General features: G+C 47.4%; 1 protein-coding gene across 4 annotated transcripts in view, besides 1 other annotated feature; it reads left to right on the top strand.

The window, feature by feature from the left end:
* Positions 1–60: 60 nt before the first annotated feature.
* SLC13A4 (solute carrier family 13 member 4) overlaps positions 61–17,715 on the top strand; it is a 46,956-nt gene continuing 29,301 nt past the window's right edge. For all 4 annotated transcript variants that reach the window (XM_047420184.1, NM_012450.4, XM_011516024.4 and 1 more), the window contains exons 1-2: positions 61–849; positions 6,724–6,852. In XM_047420184.1, the coding sequence (XP_047276140.1) occupies positions 751–849; positions 6,724–6,852 (228 nt within the window). In that variant the 5' untranslated portion in view covers positions 61–750. The remainder of the gene's footprint in view (positions 850–6,723; positions 6,853–17,715) is intronic.
* Positions 12,776–13,642: an enhancer, noted in NCBI's record as "NANOG-H3K27ac-H3K4me1 hESC enhancer chr7:135399353-135400219 (GRCh37/hg19 assembly coordinates)". NCBI's record gives its function as "activates a minimal SCP1, AML or CMV promoter by ChIP-STARR-seq in naive H9 embryonic stem cells {active_cell/tissue: H9 hESC(naive)}" and the evidence as "EXISTENCE:reporter gene assay evidence [ECO:0000049][PMID:30033119]".

Below are 17,715 nucleotides of genomic sequence, written 5' to 3'. Positions count from 1 at the left end.
GTGGGCCTCCAGCAAGTTTTGTCCTTTGATAAAAAGGAATGTCTTGGGGACTTTTCTTTTCTGCTTTGCAGGCCCAGGCTCAAGGCAAATTATAAGTAGGGAACCAATTTGAGGGAAAGACATGTGAACAGAGTTAAGGTACCACGTCCTGGGAGCGACCAGCAGCCCCACCTGAAGTCCGCATGCAACTCTGACAAGCTCAGGTGCTTGTTTTAAGGAAAGGGGCTACTAGAGTCTTACCAACAGCGAGCCCAGGTGGGAGATGAAACAGGTACTCCCCAAAATAGGTCATCCGAGGGAGGAAAACTGATGGAGAGCACAATGTGCTCTGAGCGTTTTTAATGTTTTTAAGCTTTTAAATGATTTCTTCAAGGCCGAGCAGCAGCAGCAAAGGTGTGGCTTAAAGGATTAAGGGGGTTTCTGCTGACACCTAGAATGAAGTTACTCTATTACTAATCAAGCCGAGAGGAGGCCCACTATGCCCCCGTTTATCATCCTTTCCCAGTTCCTTTTTGCTGGTCACAAAACGATGCTCATCAATCCCACCTAAAGCAGGAGGCCAGGAGCCCAGCCTCTTGTAGAAACAGCGAGGGTATAACTGCCCTCCCGTTCTGCCCCCAAGACGAAGGAGGACTCTCGGAAGCCAAGAAAGGTTTAAGAAGTCTTTCTGGATAGAGAGCAGTGCCCAGGCAGGAAGCCTTTCGCCGGCAGAGCGGGGTCCAAGGACGAGCTGGAGAGGACAGAGGCGCGATGGGCCTGCTGCAGGGCCTGCTCCGAGTCCGGAAGCTGCTGCTGGTCGTCTGCGTCCCGCTCCTGCTGCTGCCTCTGCCCGTCCTCCACCCCAGCAGCGTGAGTACCGACCTGCGCCCACCGGGGGTCTGGGAGTCAGTGGGAGGGCAAAGAGGGGAGGTCGGTAGGGGAACATGGGGCGCTCAGGCAGTCCCTCAAAGTGGCTTGTGGTGGGTTTAAAGAAATGGAAGGATTTTTCCAGAGGAAACCAAGATATCTTCTTCCTAAAAGCTGTCATGTTCATCTCCTATCCCAGTCCCATTCCCCCAACCCCATGGCCCCCACCGGGGTCAGGACAGAGTAGGGGCCTTGGCAGAAGTGACTGATGGGTGTTGCACCAAGCAGCAGGCCAGCCTGCCCCAGCAGCGGGGGCCAGCGACACCCATGCAAACGACATGGTGCACCTGTGTTTGTCGGGAGTTCACCTGGGACCCTGGTTATCTGAGAGCCCCTGGAGACACAGAAAGAGCTCCCAATAGTGGCACTGAGGAGAAGGTTGGGGGAGGAAGAGAACCGTGGAGCCAATCCGTGGTCTGTGGTCGTGTCCTGGTGGGCTTCGATGACCACAGTTGAAGCTCTAATCCCGAAGGCGCCTATCAACTTCAGGGAATGAATGTTTAGGGAAGGAATGAAAGCAGAACTTAGCAGGCTGCCCTGCTCCCATGCACGTGGCCTTGAATTATTTGTGTCTTCTGTGTTTTCTTCTCTGTCCTCTTGAAGGACAGACAAAAAGTGACACGATAAAAAAGAGATAAGAGCCCCCAAACTCTAGCCCGTGACCTCATTCTTCACCTGGTTTGTGAGAACAGAGGAACCTCAGCTCTGGCTCAGCATCCAGCTTGCCTGTCACACCCTCCTGGTGGTCACCTGCTTCCCTTCCCTTCCCTCCGCTGTTCTCTTCCTCCTGTCTGTGGCTTGTCCCCTTCCCCCAGCTGGCACTGCCCTGGAGACTTTAGGAAAAATAAGCTAAAACAGGTTAATCACGTTTGTAGGAGGGGGAGCAATTCTTCCACTCTGCTCCTTAAGTAACTTGGTAACCAAGATTAAGTTAAACAGTTAAACAGAGGGGATTAGGATGGTTCTTCTTAAAAACAAACTGGCTTAAATCTTTCATAGAATAAATACTCCAGAGTGCCAGGGAGACGCTGATTAAAACTGGGCTGGGATTAGCAGACAGTGATTGCTGCTGACATTCTTCCTGGACTGTACCCTAGTCAATTTTCTGCTTTGTCCAAATGGGCCTGATTTTTTTTCTTTTTGTGGCTTTTCTTGTTTTTGTTTTTTCTCCATGTAGGTTGCTATAAGGGACTGTTACCGAGAGACATACTAGCCTCCTCTCCCAAGCAGTATCAGGAACCTCTCATATCTCCTGGTTGAGGCAGCCCCATCTTTGGGGACCTTGGCCACTGCCCACAGAAGGCACAGACTAGGTGCCCAGCAGGTAGAGTTTCATCCATCCGTCACCCCTTTCATCAAACTTTTTTTTGTAGACGCAGAGTCTCACTCTGTCACCCAGTCCGGAGTGCGGTGGCACAATCGTAGCTCACTGCAGCCTTGAGCTCCTGGGGTTAAGCAATCCTCGTGCCTCAGCCTCTGGAGTAGCTGGGACTACAGGCAAGCAAGTACCACCACATGCAGCTAATTTTTAAAAAAATTTTTTTTGTAGAAATGGGGGTTTCACTATGTTGCCCAGGCTGGTCTCAAACTCATGGTCTGACGTGATCCTCCCAAAGTGTTGAGATTACAGGTGTGAGCCACCGTGCCTGGCCTGCATCAAACTTTTAGAGTCTGATATTTAACCCTTAAAATTCCAAATGGATTTTCTTGCTCTGGACTGGAGTTGAGAGCAGTGATGGAGTACCTGGGCAGGAGCTCCTGGCCTGCAGTTTTGATGGTTCTAAGCGACAAGCCTCAGCTACATTTTAGGAGGAGTCAAAATGACCTTCCCCCTTTTTCTTGCCCAACTCTCTAAAACTAGAGGTCCAGACACTGTTTATCATGTTATAGAAGAAGAGGGTACAAGAGACAGCATCCATAACTAAGCCCTTCCTCAGTGCCCCCAGTGGGATAAAAGTTGCATCTCAACTGCCCAAGCTAAATTTTTTAAAAGGCGCCCCCAGTCATTGATGATAACAGATAACAGACTTCAACCTCCTTCCCGTGAAGTTGGAGTGGGATATCACTGGGGTGGTCAAACTGCGTGGAAAACGAGCAGTTCCACGCCTAAGTGAGTAGCTGACTAGGAAACGTCCTACATGGGGAAATGCCACTTTCGAACTCTTTCCTTTACTTGTAAACGGGAGCCAAAAAATAGTAGATAGCATGTCCCTTGAAGATATTGTCTGAACACTCACCAATGCCCAACCCCCACATACCTGCTATTATAAGGAACCAGTGGTGTTGTTAAAGAGCCTGGGGGTTGCAGAATATTCTCTCCAGAAGATGAGCGAGACCTGACAGCCAGCAGAGAAGTCCAGTGCAGTTCAGCCCACGTGAATTGAACCACCTGCTAGACATGGGATAGGCGTTGGGGACATCGGACTCCTTGTAAGCAAACTTTGCAGTATTTTTGGTTGTCTGAATACAAGCTTACCTCCTGAATTTTGGGAAGCTTTAGAAGGGGAAAAATGAAGTTTATGGAGATTCCATGGGTGAAATAAGTGGAAACTGTATGGAAAGACTCTCTAAAGGTGTCTCTTGTCCATTCTTCTACTCTAAGGAAAATCCAGGTAAAAAATGATAGTAATTAATCCTGTCCTTAATACAGCTGGGTGAAGGTGGCCTGATGACTTACTTCTTCCAGTAACCTAGTCGCATGTCTAACAATATTTACAACCAAAATGTTTGCTTTATTTTACCCACATTCTCCTAATTGAAAACTAAAGGCACCTGGCAGAGGGAAAGTCCTCTTTCTTTCTCTCTCTCTCCTTTCTTCTTTTTTTTTTTTTTTTTTTTTTCTGAGACAGAGTCTCACTCTGTCACTCAGGCTCTGGAGTGCAGTGGCACAACCTTGGCTCACTGCAACCTCTGCCTCCCGGGTTCAAGGGATTCTCCTGCCTCAGCCTCCAGAGCAGCTAGGATTACAGGCATGTGCCACCACACCTGGATGAATTTTTTGTATTTTTAATAGAGACAGGGTTTCGCCATGTTGGCCAGGCTGGTCTCGAACTCCTGACCTCAACTGATCCACCCACCTCGGCCTCCCATAGTGCTGGGATTACAGGCTCTTTTCCTCTTTCTCCTTTCCCTTTCTCTGCACCTTCTCTCCCCACCTCCTTCCCCTTAACTTGTAACTTGTAGCCCTGTAATGACCAGATCAAGAAAGACTAAGGGTTCCAGGAAGAAATAAGGGTCCCCAGTGAGGGGCAGACATTTTGTCTCTCAACTCTTTCTCTTCAACTGGAGTTAAGATCTGCCACTCTGTCTCTTTCCCAGAAGAGAGATGAGAACACGTGGGTTTGAACTCCTTTAGGTAGTTTTATTTCTATAGCAAACAGGGTATTTCTCTAAATTGAATTTGTTTCCAAGTGGAGCCTCTTTTTTTTTCCACCATTGGTTCTGTTGTCTTATCAGCACTTCCAAAAGTTTTATCTTCCCTCTGATCTTTTGGCCCCAGAGAACATCTCAGTGGGGAGCTACAGTCAACTTTTGGGCCCAGTTCCCATTTCTCAAACCCCAATCCCATAATCCACGAATGTCAGGAGGGCACAAGGTCCTTGCCAGCCCAGCTGATTTAATCACTCCTGCTGCCCCTTACTGATACAGCGACCTTTTGTAACTTTTATGCAAGAGTTTGAGGACGCGTGTTCTGAACTCAAGGGGCCATAAACAGCAAGATTTGTCAGGTTCCTTGATCAGCAGCCAGCCTCAGGGCAAATCAGACACGAGTCCTGATGGTTTACAACTATGTAAAAATTGAGGATCCCACAGCCAACTTGGATTTTCTATAAATGCTCTTCTGAGTCACGGAGCTTGGTGATGTTACCATTAACAAGGCCCATGAACTGCAGCCTCTCCCTAGAGTAAGGCGGTAACCTGTCTTAACAGCGTTCATCAGCATAATTCAGGGCAATCAACACAACTAGAGGGCAAGCTGATGGAGGGCTGGCTTCTGATAAGAATGTTGTACTTAATTACCCTGTGCACCCCTAGGTTGTCCAGCCAGCAAAGTGAGTGGGCTATGGAAAATGCTGGTGAATGTCCAGGCCTCCCCTTCCAGATAGATGGCTGTCTTCAGTCTTTGTAGATGGATGTTTCCATGGTGTCAAGCGGATAGAATGGAGTCCAAGAGCAACGAGAACCAGACCCTGGTTAGGGCAGTGGCTCTCAACCAGGAATCATTTTACCTCCCCAAGGGACATTTGGCAATGTCTAGAGATGGTTTTTTGCTTGTCACAGTGGAGGAAGTGCTACCGGCATTTAGTGGGTAGAGACCAGGGATGCTGCTCTTTTACAGTGCACAGGACAGCCCCCCTGCAAGAAGAAACTATGTGGCCCTAAATGTCAGTAGTACGAAGGTTGACAAACACTGAGTTAGGAGCTGATGCTTCTTCATCCAAAATGAGAGTTCCATGCTCAGGATCGCTGCCTTCCTCTTCAGTCTTCCCTTCCCTCTCCCAGGGAAGGGAGCTCCTTATTAACTCTTACAGGGGCCTTTGGGAGAAGGATTCAGTCTCTAGATGCAAAACATGGTAGGACCTCAGATCCAAAATTGAAGGGGGAAATGGTCAACCAGTTCTTCAAGTTGCCTAATAATTTATTTGATTAAAATTTACTACTGAATCAAGTTGTTTCAGCAAATAGTCTAAAACAGGGGGATTTAACTTTGTTTATTCATTTTTAAAGCAATAAAGCTTTTTTTTTTTCAAATCTCACATGTAATGTTCGTATATGAATCAAATGAGAACAAAGCTACTCCATTTGGGATGAGGCTGGAGAGGGGGTCCAGATTCCAGGCCTTGCTGATCCCCCTGGTATATTCTTGAGACACACCCCAGATGCCCAGGGCTGTAAGAGCACAGTCCAGAAGCCACCTTTTGGATTGTTTATAAATCTCACTTCTTACTGATCCACTTCTCTTCAGTCAGGCACACACCAATGCCACATATCTTCATATCTTAGGCACATGTGTCAAACTCAGGATGACTGATCTCAGAGCTCACATGTGAACGAACTGTTTTTTTTGTTTGTTTGCTTGTTTTTTTGAGACAGCATTGTACTCTATAGTCCTGTAGTCCAAGCTGGAGTGCAATGGCATATGATCATAGCTCACTGCAGCCTGAAGCCCCTGGGCTCAAGTGATCCTCTGGCATCAGCCTCCCAAGTAGCTGGGACTACAGGCCTGTGCCACCACACCTGGCTAATTTATATTTTATTTTTTAGAGATGGGGTCTTGCTATATATTGCCCAGGCTGGTCTCAAACTCCTGGGCTCAAGTGATCCTCCCACCTTGGCCTCCCAAAGTCCTGGGATTACAAGTGCAAGCCCCAGCCCCCACCACACATAGTGATTCCTATCTCCAACTACCCCAAGAACTTCTAATATCCAGTCAACTTAACACCAATTACATCCCAGTCCAAGTTAAAGCTTTGAACTCCACTTGTATGGTTTTGTGATCATGGGTCTGGTCACTGCAGTTAAGTTCAGTCCCCACCTTGGCAGTTTCCAGAACCCTCCGAGCTGCCTGGCTACACACCAGTGCAAACCACACGCCAGGCATCGGTCCCCGAAGGAGCAGCCATAATGTCACCCACCAAAGGATGGACTCACCATGTATTCACCATGCTCGCCTGCCAGTTCGGTTTCGGTCCCTGGGCTGTATCCTAGTACCCGCGTTACAGTCTGAGTCTGCTGCCTCAGATGCCAGGGTTGCATCCGGACGCTCAGTGGCAGTGACTATTCCTGTGAATGACGGCCCCTTTCCTTGCCTTGCAGGAGGCCTCGTGTGCTTACGTGCTGATCGTGACTGCTGTGTACTGGGTGTCGGAGGCAGTGCCTCTGGGAGCTGCAGCCCTGGTGCCGGCCTTCCTTTACCCGTTCTTCGGAGTCCTCCGGTCCAATGAGGTTAGACTACTTGTAGCCCCACCCCCTGCCTGGGTCCCTGCAGGGCCCCTGAAAGAGAGCCTCCAATGAAGGGAGATTCACCCAGCACTTGACGATGAGGGGGCCTTGTCACCCACTGGAATGACCCCTTAACACTAAGCTTTGGCACCTGCAGTTCTAGACCCTGAATTCCTCTCCTTCCACCCATGATCCTCATCTCCTTCAAACTGGCTCAAAATTTGCCTCTTTCAGGAAGCCTTACTTGATTAAACACATCCAGTTGCTCCCTCGGTCTGAAGCCTTTTAGGAGCTGTGTGATTGATGCCTAAAACTCAGCTGCTGTTGACCTTTTTCAGACTCTGGATGTCTATTTAGACGATAAGCACACAAAGGCAGGAATCAGACCTCCCATTAGAAAGCTGAGCCTGTACACAGTAGGTGCTCAATGAATGTTTGTTACAGAGAGACTTACCCTATTTCCCTGAACCCTGACAATGTTTTCATCCACGCCTCCAAAAAACAACATTTCTTTTTCTTCTCGCCCGACTTAAGGTTACTTTCTTTCTTTGCGCCCTCCCTAGAGTGAGCCCTCTCCATTCACTGTCTGTGGCCTTCTCAAAAGCTCAAACAGAAATTGTCAGTGGGAAGCCCAGGTTGTGGCAAAATTTCAGAGCAAAGTTTAAGCCTGCCATGAGTAGGGAAAAAGAAAAAACAAAACAAAACAAAACAGCCAGAACCTGGGACCAAATGAATGACGATCTCATTCAGTAACACCTGGTTCCATTCAACTGTCTCATTATTAACACCTGGTCTCTGCTTAGGGTTTTTGTTTTGTTTTTGGTTTTTTTTTTTTTTTTTTTTAATGAAAAAGCCTGAATCACTGAGATGGGGGTAAGGTTATGGGCAGAGGCACAGAAAGAAGAGGAAAGGAAGCTCATATTTGAATGCCTACTAAGCGCCAGGCACTCTATCAGAAGTGCTGCATTTGTTATGTAATACTCCCAAGGGCTGTACAAGGCGCATGCTAGTATTTCCATTTTACAGATAGGCTCAGAGAATTAAGAGACTCAGCCCAAATCACAAAGCTGAAAGTAGCAGAATTAGATTCAAACCCGTAACTATTAGAATTCAAAGTGTATACACTTGATCACTACACCATAAGAAAAAGACTCCATAAAGTGGTATGTGGCTTCATGGCACTATGTACACATGGAGTTATTACTTAGAACTGTGAGTCTCTTCACTTCTGTGATATGAGGAAGAATGGAGCGGGGCCTATGGATGCTTTAATGGACAACAGAACTTTCCAAAAATAGAATTAGGCAATCCTCTAATAGTTGTACTTCACTGCAAATGAACACTTTGTCTTTCTACTGGATAGATTTAACTGACTAGTTTTTTGTTTGCTTTTAGGTTCCTTTTCTTTCTTTCTCTCTCTTTCTCTCTCTCTCTCTCTCTCCCCCCAACTCCCTCCCCTGTCTCTCTCCCCCTGGGCCCGTCTCTCTCTCTCTCCTCTCTCTCTCTCTTTCCTTCCTCTTTCTATCTATCTATCTGTACACACATATATATATGCGTGTGTGTGGCTATACACACACACACACACACACACACATACACACACACACACACACACATGTGGCATTGAGTAGCCATAGCCTCAGGCTCACCAAAAAGAAGAGAATCCCCAAAGCTCTCAGCAGTGCTTTCATTCCTGGAGATGGGTACAACCCCAATATCGTGGGGACCCATGTAAAAGCTAATCTGTGACCAGAATCACCAGGCAGTTGTTCTAATTGCCCCCTCTTCTTTCGTGAAAAAAGAATAGGTAATATGGGGTTTTGTGTCTGCCTAAAGAAAAAAGCAACCTAAATGTGACTTTTCTTAAGAGAGCTATACAAGCTTGTTCTCCAGGCTTCTCTTTAAAATTGTGAAATTAAAACCAGCAAGGGCAGGGCTTGAAAGTGGAGGGTAGAGGAAAAAAAATGATGTTTAGAAAGAACTGAATCCTAAATAACCTTTTAAAGTGAGAAAACTATTAATTAAGAAACCTAATCTTTGTATTTCACTATAGGCAGCCCAAAAGCCAACAGCATGCCTTAGCTTTCAAGCAGACAGTGTCTCTGTTTCTCCAAGGGCACAGTAGAGATGTTGCCAGGCAACAGTTATCCGAGGGACGCCCCTTTGTCCAGAGAGGAAGGCCAAACCCGTAAGGAGAGTCTGCAGAGGCAGTCGCTTGGGAGGGTAACAGGACTCTGTGAGAAATAAAGGAAGACTGTCCAGGGAGGGACTGTGTGTCACTATTGCTAGGGGCTGGAGGAGCCAGAAAGCACGTCTTATCATTTGAGGTGAAAAATCCGAATCCACCTGCCTGATGACGTGGCTTTGGCTGATGATGATATTTAGTAGTTGGGCTACAGGGAGCAGCTTAGTCCAAATATAGTCTGTTTAGCTGACCTTCTTAGCTCAGATTAGAGGGAAATGCCAGTAAGGCAGAGCACATGGGTTATAGCCCTTTGTAAGCCAGTTAACTTTGCAGAGAAAACACCTATTCCACAACCACCTATGCACCACTATGACACCAGAATGTGCCATGGCTCACAGGGGGAAGCTAGGCTGGTGCTCTTTAGGAGCCCCCAAATCCTTGTCATTTCCCAAACCCATCTACTTCTTGACCATCCTCTTACTGCGACTTGGGTTATTCTTCCACTTTGGAAAGTTCTCTCCCGTTCTTTGACCTTTAAAGTCCTACTCAATTACTCTCTTTGGTGAAGCCCTTCCAATGACCAAAGGCTGAAAGTGTTGATCCCTTCTCAATGAGCCTATTTCATGTCTTTATCTTTTAAATGGTGCATCAGATACACCAGATATAAACTTTTCATAGACATGTGCTCTCCCCACCGAGATTCATGCTCTCTGGGATGTACAATGTCTATGTCTATGGCCTGTCTGTAGCCCAGCACCATGTTTGCATCAGCCCTCATTCACAGCTCTTGATTGCAGTGTTTCTTGACAATGTGTCAGTAATGTCATCTTCAGTGAGGGAAGGAAGGCACGTGAATAGGATCAGTGTGACTCTGGGACTGTGGCTGGGTTCCCTCATGTTATTCATTCAACATTTAGAGACAGTATTTTCTCAGTTCTACATCTACCAGGTGCAACATGGGATGATATGGGTACCCTGAGGGTGACAAAAATAAACAAAATGTCATCTCTCCCCTCTTGAATCTCGTATCTGAGCTCTCACTGTCTGAAGCTGGATATGTTCTGCAGTTTCTCCAGAGAAACAGAACGAAGAGGAGACTAGCGCGCACGCGTGCGCGCGCGCGCGTGTGTGTGTGTGTGTGTAGGAATTGGCTCACTTGATTAATTATGGAGGCTAAGACATCCCATGAGCTGCCACTTGCAAGCTGGAGACCCAGGAGAGCTGCTGATGTCACTCTGTGTGAGTCCAAAGGCCTAAGAACCAGGGAAGCCAATGGTGTAGATCCCAGTCCCAGGGCAGGAGATGACAGATGTCCCAGCCCAGGTGGTGAGACTGGAAAAAGGAGGCAAATTCCTGCTTCCTCTGCCTTTTGTTCTAGTCAGGCCCTCGACAGATTGGATGATGTCTGTCCAGATGGCAGAGGGCAATCCACTGATTCAAATGCCAATCTCATCCAGAAACACCCAGAAGCAATGCTTAATCTGGGCACCCCATGGTCCACCCAAGTTGACATGCAAAGTTAACCATCACAAGTACATATAAATGGTTCATTTTTACAGTGGTGATCTGTCAGCCAGTGGGTATTAGGAGTTGTGTGCAAAGCTCAGACTCAGGTGCTGATAAGAGATACAAAATGACAGAAGGGCTCCTGACCCGGAGAAGTTTCTATTTTAGTAGAGAGAAAGTATAAACCATGTGGAAAAATACAGAATGCCCTATGAAGTGATGCCTCGTTTTCTGGCATTGTGGAGGATTTATACAACTCCTCAAGAGGGGATGTTCTAGATAAATAAAATTTACACTGCCAACTGCCCAAACTTCATGTTGACTAATTTTTGATTACAGTCTTTCTAATGGGTTTTATAATTTCCTTGGTCTTTGAAACAGAAGTTATTAAATATAATTTAACTTTTTCCTTGGAGCCTTCAAAATTTCCAGGGGGGAAAAAAAGAATTTCTCACTCAGAGGAGTCAGAGTGGGCTCCATGAGAAAGCACAGTTGAGTAACTTGAGGGCTGGGTGAACAGCTGAACCTAAAGAATCTTGAATAGCATGTTGGCATCAGATTAGGGTGAGATTGCAGTTGAAAATATAAAAGGCTTATTATCAGATTTGCAGATGGCTAAGTTGGATGCGCTAGCTGGCTAATGTACGGTGCTAATGTACGGTGGCAGAATGAGACATGCGGACAGGAAGAGACAATGGACTGAAACTGACAAAATGAAGTCTAATAAGGATAAATGCCAGCAGTTCATGCGAAAAAGACCCTTGGCTTTTAGCTAAGTACAGGCTCAGCATGAGTCACCATCAGTCCAACGTGGCTGCCAAATTCCAAGTGTTTACCATATGCCAGGCACTGTGGGAGGTCATTTACACACACTATATAACTTAATCCTCCGTGAAGGTGCTATTATTTTTATCTTCATTTTAAAGAGAAGGAAACTGAAGTTCAGAGAGGTTAAGTAACTTACTTACCCGCGGTTATGCAGCTACTAAGTGGTGGAGCTGGGACTTGAATCCAAGATTGTATGATTCCAGAACTTGAGCTCTTAACCCCCCAGGCAATGTGACCAAAATCCTCCGTTGAATTAATAAATTATGGGCTGGGCACTGTGGCTCACGCCTGTAATCCCAGCACTTTGGGAGGCCAAGGCAGGCGGATCACCTGAGGTCAGGGGTTTGAGACCAGCCTGGCCAGCATGGTGAAACCCATCTCTACTAAAAATAAAATAGAATAAAAAATTAGCAGGGTATGGTGGTGCATGCCTGTAGTCCCAGCTACTCAGGAGGATGAGGCAAGAGAATCTCTTGAACCCAGGAGGCAGAGGTTACAGTGAGCCAAGATCATGCCACTGCACTCCAGCCTGGATGACAGAGCTAGGCTCCATCTAAAAAAATTTTTTTTAATTTTAAAAATTAATAAATGATGTGTCCAGTACATCAAATTCTGGATAAGGAGCTCATCCAGAGGTGGGTGGCCAGGATGTTAAAAAGCTGGAGCCTGAGTCACATGAGGAATGAAGAGAAGACTTAAGGGGACATAAGTCCAGGCTTCCATAAGTCCAGGCTTCCATGGCTCCACACTCCAGGCCCAAAGCGTCACACCAGAACCAGAGTCAGAGTGCCATAAAGGAATTTCCCGTTCTGTATAAAGGAAAACTCTGACATGAGTTGCCATGTGTGGTCCTTGTGTTCCTGTCCCTAGATGTCTGAGCCAAATGACCATGCCAGATACACTAGACATAGACTTTGTGCCTTGGGAGATGGGTTGGACTCTAAGGTCCCTCTATGATCTTGTGAGCATCCAGCTGCTACTTCCTCTGCTGATTAGTCCTGTATTTTAGGTTTGTGTGTGTTTGTTTTTATTTTGGCTCCATTGTGACTCTCACTTACCGTCATTATATCTGCCTCTGAAGTCCTCTAAGCCCCTTCTAATGTGTTGCTCCAAAAGTTTATAGCCTGGGCATGATACCTGTGTCAATCAAGTTAACTAAGATTTACTGTCTATAGGAGAATGGCATAGAGGTGGGCACCACAGGGCTCTCCGGTGAAGTAGAAAGCATGGGTTGGATATTGGGGATTGGGAACAAACAGCTCTCCAGGAGGCCCAGGGTTAGGGTGTACTTCAGGAAGTAATTGCATGTGCTCTTTGTCTCTATCCTTTCCCCAGCACACACACTGGCACACACTCACACACTCACATACACACTCCTACACACCCACTCATACATACACATACACACACTCATATGCACTAATGCACATTCACACACTCATACACACGCTCACACACTCATACACACACTCATACACACATGTTCACACATACACACTCACACACTCATACACATACACTCATACACACGCTCACATATACATACACTTACTCACACACATACACATGCTTAGATATACGTACACTCACACACACTCATACACTCATACACATGCCCACACTCATACACATACACATACACACATACACTCACATATACACACTCATGCACACATACACTCATACACACTTATATACCCATATACACATATATACTCTCACACACTCATACACACATTCTCACACACGCATACACACATAAACTCATACACGCTCACACACATACACTTATACACACACATCATACACACACACATTCACATACACACTCATACCCTCACACACATTCACACTCACATATACACAAATACACACTCACATATACACACACATACACACACTTTCACATACACACTCACACACACTCTCACCTGGGCCCAGCCAGCGGTCTCTGGCCCTGCGCTGCAGGCCTCGGGCTGGTGTCACTCAGCTTCCAGCTCCCGCAGGGGCAGGAGAGGAGTACAGGCTGCGCCCGCTGGGATAACCCGCAGCCGCTGCCGCCTGGTGCCGCCGGAGTCGGCTGTCATCAATCCGCTTCCCTGCTGGCTCCTGATCTTTCTGACCCGCCAGATTCCTGCCCTCTGACTCGTTACCCTGACTTTCTCTGTTTGAGTAAGCCTGGGGGCATTTCATAAAGCACTCTCAGCTCTGCCTTTCCCATCTCTCCTCGCCATGGAGGCTGACCGGTCCTCTGCATGCGGGCCCGTGGGCATGTGGGCTGGACATCCAGCTGGCCACCTGCCTGAACCCCAGGCTGCCCTCACCCTCAGCCACCCAGACGCAGCCCCAGGGCTGAGCTCCACACTGGGCCTTCAGTGGGAGCCTACAGACCTTGCAGCCTTTCGAGACCAAGCTAATGTTTCTGGGGGGAAGAGCAGCTCCCTGTGAACCACCACCTGACCAGCAGCCCCTTGGCTCGTGGCTCAGAGCCCAGACCCTTGCCTCAGCTTCCCCATCTGGGTAGTTCATACAGTCCCAAAGAAGAAACTGGGCAGGGGTGGTGGCGGTTATGAATCAGTGTCTCCAGTCATGCAGGAGTTGGGCCAGCTTCTGGGTCATGCCAGCACCCATCTGGGTCTCTCTACTTTAGACTTCTCTAGGGCAGGATTTGCAAAGAATGTTTTTTTAAGCAATGAAACCTTTTCTTTAAACCAAATCTTAGAAGACTCAATATATAAAACAGATGGAACCAGGAATGCAAATCAGGTGATGAGAAGGGTGTCTGAGCCCCTGCTAGGGGCTTACCCGGCAGAAACAGCATTCCTGCCCCCAGGGAAGGTGGAAAGGAGACACTGCTGGCTTGGCTGTGCTGCTTGGACACTAACTGGAATGGAGTCCTGTGGGGCTTCAGCCCTGGCAGGGCTTAGCTTAGCACTGAGCGGGAGCCAGGCCAGGTATCTGCTCCCAGGGTTCAGAGAATTTCACTGCAAAATTGTTCAGATGAGGCTGGGCACAGTGGCTCACACCTGTAATCCCAGCACTTTGGGAGGCCAAGGTGGGAGGATCACAAGGTCAGGCGTTGAAGACCAGCCTGGCCAACATGGCGAAACCCCGTCTCTACTGAAAATACAAAATTAGCCGGACACAATGGTGGGTGCCTGTAGTCATAGCTACCGGGAAGGCTGAGGCAGGAGAATCATTTAAACCTGTAAGGCCAAGGTTGCAGTGAGCCGAGATCAGGCTACTACACTCCAGCCTGGGCAACAGAGTGAGACTCTGTCTCAAAAAATATATAAAATAAAAAACACATAATTAAAAAAAAATAAGAGCCCACCTGCATTATCTTATGTGTAAAGCCCATGTCACAGCAGATTAAATTAGCTATGTAGCATCACTGTGGCCCTTAAAAAATTGGTGACAGAGGTACAGAGGTTCATTAGCTTGTCCAATAGCAGGTAACTCATCTGAACTTCAGAGCCCAAGATTGCTATAGCTATTCCTTGTCAAGGGGACCTCCTTGAGCCCATCTTTCCTAAAACACAGTCCAGAAACACCTCTGCTCTCCAAGTTCAGTGATGTGGCATACTGAGAAAAACCACAGAGCAGAAAAGCAGAAAAAGCAATCAAACCACCATGCAAATGTCCTAAAATCCATGCACTTTACTCCTGGGGAGGAACAGCCATTTAGAATCTAATTTCTCTTTACAAAAAACTCTAACAATCTTCGTTATCTGGCTTCCCAGCTCACAGGATGTGAGTCTGGGAAATTATAAAATGGGGAAAGGAATGCTAATGGCAAGCATCCTCACATCGGGAAAATGCAGCCGCCTAAGAATGAGACGGGAAACCAGCAAAATGCAGACCCAGGGACCAGAGAAGGACCAGCAGCCTGGACAGCTAGCCAAGGGCAAGAGCGATAAGAGGCTCCCTGGGCAGAGGCTATGATGGGGAGAGTTGGCACATGTCTCACAAGAAGCCGGGGAGAATGCACAGGCTCTGTTGATAAAGGCAGGAAATCTGCAACACACTCTAGAAAACAATAACAATCATCCTCGAGAATCTTGGAAGTCTGGTGTTCCCTGGGAGGCTCTGAATAACCCAGGTGTTATTGTGAAAGAAAAATCAATGGGCTAGAAAACTAATAAACAACACCACTGAACAGAATTTTAATTTCTAAAAATGAAAAAGCAGCCCTGTGGCTTTGCTCTGTGCATGGATGAGCCCACTCTGTGTGCTAATGGCCTCAAACCAGCTCAGCCTTTAGATGGAGCACTTCACAACAGGAAGAGTCACCAGGGATCCTGGCCATCAATGTGGCAGGCCATGCCAGCTGGTTTGCACGTGTCATTTAATCTCTGTAATAACCTTATGAGGTAGGGACTCACATAACCTTCCTTCCTTTTTTTTTTTTTTTTTTAGATGAGAAAATGAAGCCCAGAGAGGCTGAATACCTTGTCTAGGGTCACACAGTGGAGTCCCGGCTGACTCCAGAGTCCTCCCTCTTCCCCACTCAGTGATGTTACCTCTGTAATCACAAACTATATCCTGAGCCCCAGGCCGTGTCTCCCGAGCACATAGTATCACTTACAAGGGAGCAGGAAAGACATGAGAATAGAGCTGAGCCCACCAAACACCCAGCACAGAGCCAATATCCCACTGAAGCTGGGCCTGGAGTTCAGACTGGCCCTGCCCTGGGCATTTAAGGCCAGTGTCAGGACTGCGATTATAAATGAAGATAAAAAATGTGTACCAGTGGGCTGGGTGCAATGGTTCATGCCTGTAATCCCAGCACTTTGGGAGACTGAGATGAGCAGATCACTTGAGGTCAGGAGTTTAAGACCAGCCTGGCCAACAAGCTGGTTAAAGCTCGTACCTACTAAAAAAAAAAAAAAAAAAAAAAAAAAAAAAAAAAAAATCCAAAAACATTAGCCAGGTGTAGTGGTTTCACTAAGGAGGTTTCCTTAGTTTTTCTAAGCACCTGTAGCTCCAGCTACTTGGGAGGCTGAGGCAGGAGAATTGCTTAAACTCAGGAGGCAGAGGTTGTAGTGAGCCGAGATTGCGCCACTGCACTCCAGTCTGGGCCACAGAACAACTCTCTGTCTCAAAAAAACAAAAACAAAAACAAAAACACGACAAGAAATGTGTGCCAGCTCATGCTGTCTGGGAGACCCAGAAAATCCCCCTAGAGTTGAATCAGATGGGGGTTTCCAGTCGGCTCACCGTGTGGCAGGCTGTCTAGGAGGCTTCGGATTCAGATGGCCCTGAAGTGGTATCCTGCCTCTGCCCTTACACTGTGACCTGGGAGATGCTCCCTAAACCCCCAGTTTCCTCATCAGTAAACTGAGATACGGATAGTGCTGCTTCATAGCACTGCTGTGGAGCTCAAATGAGAAAGTGAATGCAACATGCAAAATGCCGGCACTAGAAGGCTCTCCATATTCCTGGTTGCTTTCCTCTGCCTCCAAGTGGAACCCAGAGAAAGTGGCCTACCTGTCATTTAGGCACTGAGCATCCTAAAAGGCCATCACAGCCAAACCGGTGTTCTAGAATGGGATATGATAGAGGCAGAAAACGTAGCTCTTGTCAGTCAGTCCCTGGGGAAAGACACCCCAGTCGCACTGACTTGAAAAGCTTCGCAGGGCTGTGTCATGGGGCTGGTGGAAAGACCATCTCCCACAACGGTCCCGCATCTTCTGTGGGTTTCTCTCCTCGGTAGACAAGAAAATAAAGCTCCAGTTGTGCCACAAAGCCGCCTCCACAAAGCCTGGGAAAGTAACCAGGCAGTGAGAAAGGCCCTTGAACCTCCAAGTTCAACCACTTCCCTAGGACAATCCTGCAGTGCCTCCTGCTCCCGCTAGGGGGCCGCTCCCCCAACCCCACCCCCGCCCCCACCACCATGATCACCGCCCTCTCAGAGTGGACTCTGCCACGGAGTCACAAGCTGTCCAGAGCAGGGGGCCTTCCCTGCCCCCAGGGGGCATTCGTGACAGTAGTCCGCTGAGGAATGGGCTTAGAGACAAACACTGGGTTAACCAGAAGCAGGGGCTTTTCCCCCCAGGAAATGGTCACAGTGAGGGCAGATGTCCCTTCTCCTACACAACCCTCATCAACCAGATGCAATGAAATGTCCATAGGGCAAAAGAGAGAAAGGAGAGATGGAGCAGCCTGCCTTTATTTTGGTTTTGATGTTATCAAAGTGTTTCGTGCACAAAGTTTAAAAATCAAATACTTTAATACTGAACGCTTATAATGAAAAGTCAGCAGTCTCTTTCCTCATCCCTCCCACTTCCCCCCCTACCAAGTCCCACCCCACCCTCAGAGTCAATAACTTGTAACTTTGTTAACAG

The sequence above is a fragment of the Homo sapiens genome, chromosome 7, assembly GCF_000001405.40.
Source record: "Homo sapiens chromosome 7, GRCh38.p14 Primary Assembly".
In the NCBI taxonomy this organism is placed as follows: domain Eukaryota; kingdom Metazoa; phylum Chordata; class Mammalia; order Primates; family Hominidae; genus Homo; species Homo sapiens.
The sequence above is the reverse complement of the archived record's forward strand: the minus strand, read 5'-3'. Positions and strand labels throughout refer to the sequence as shown.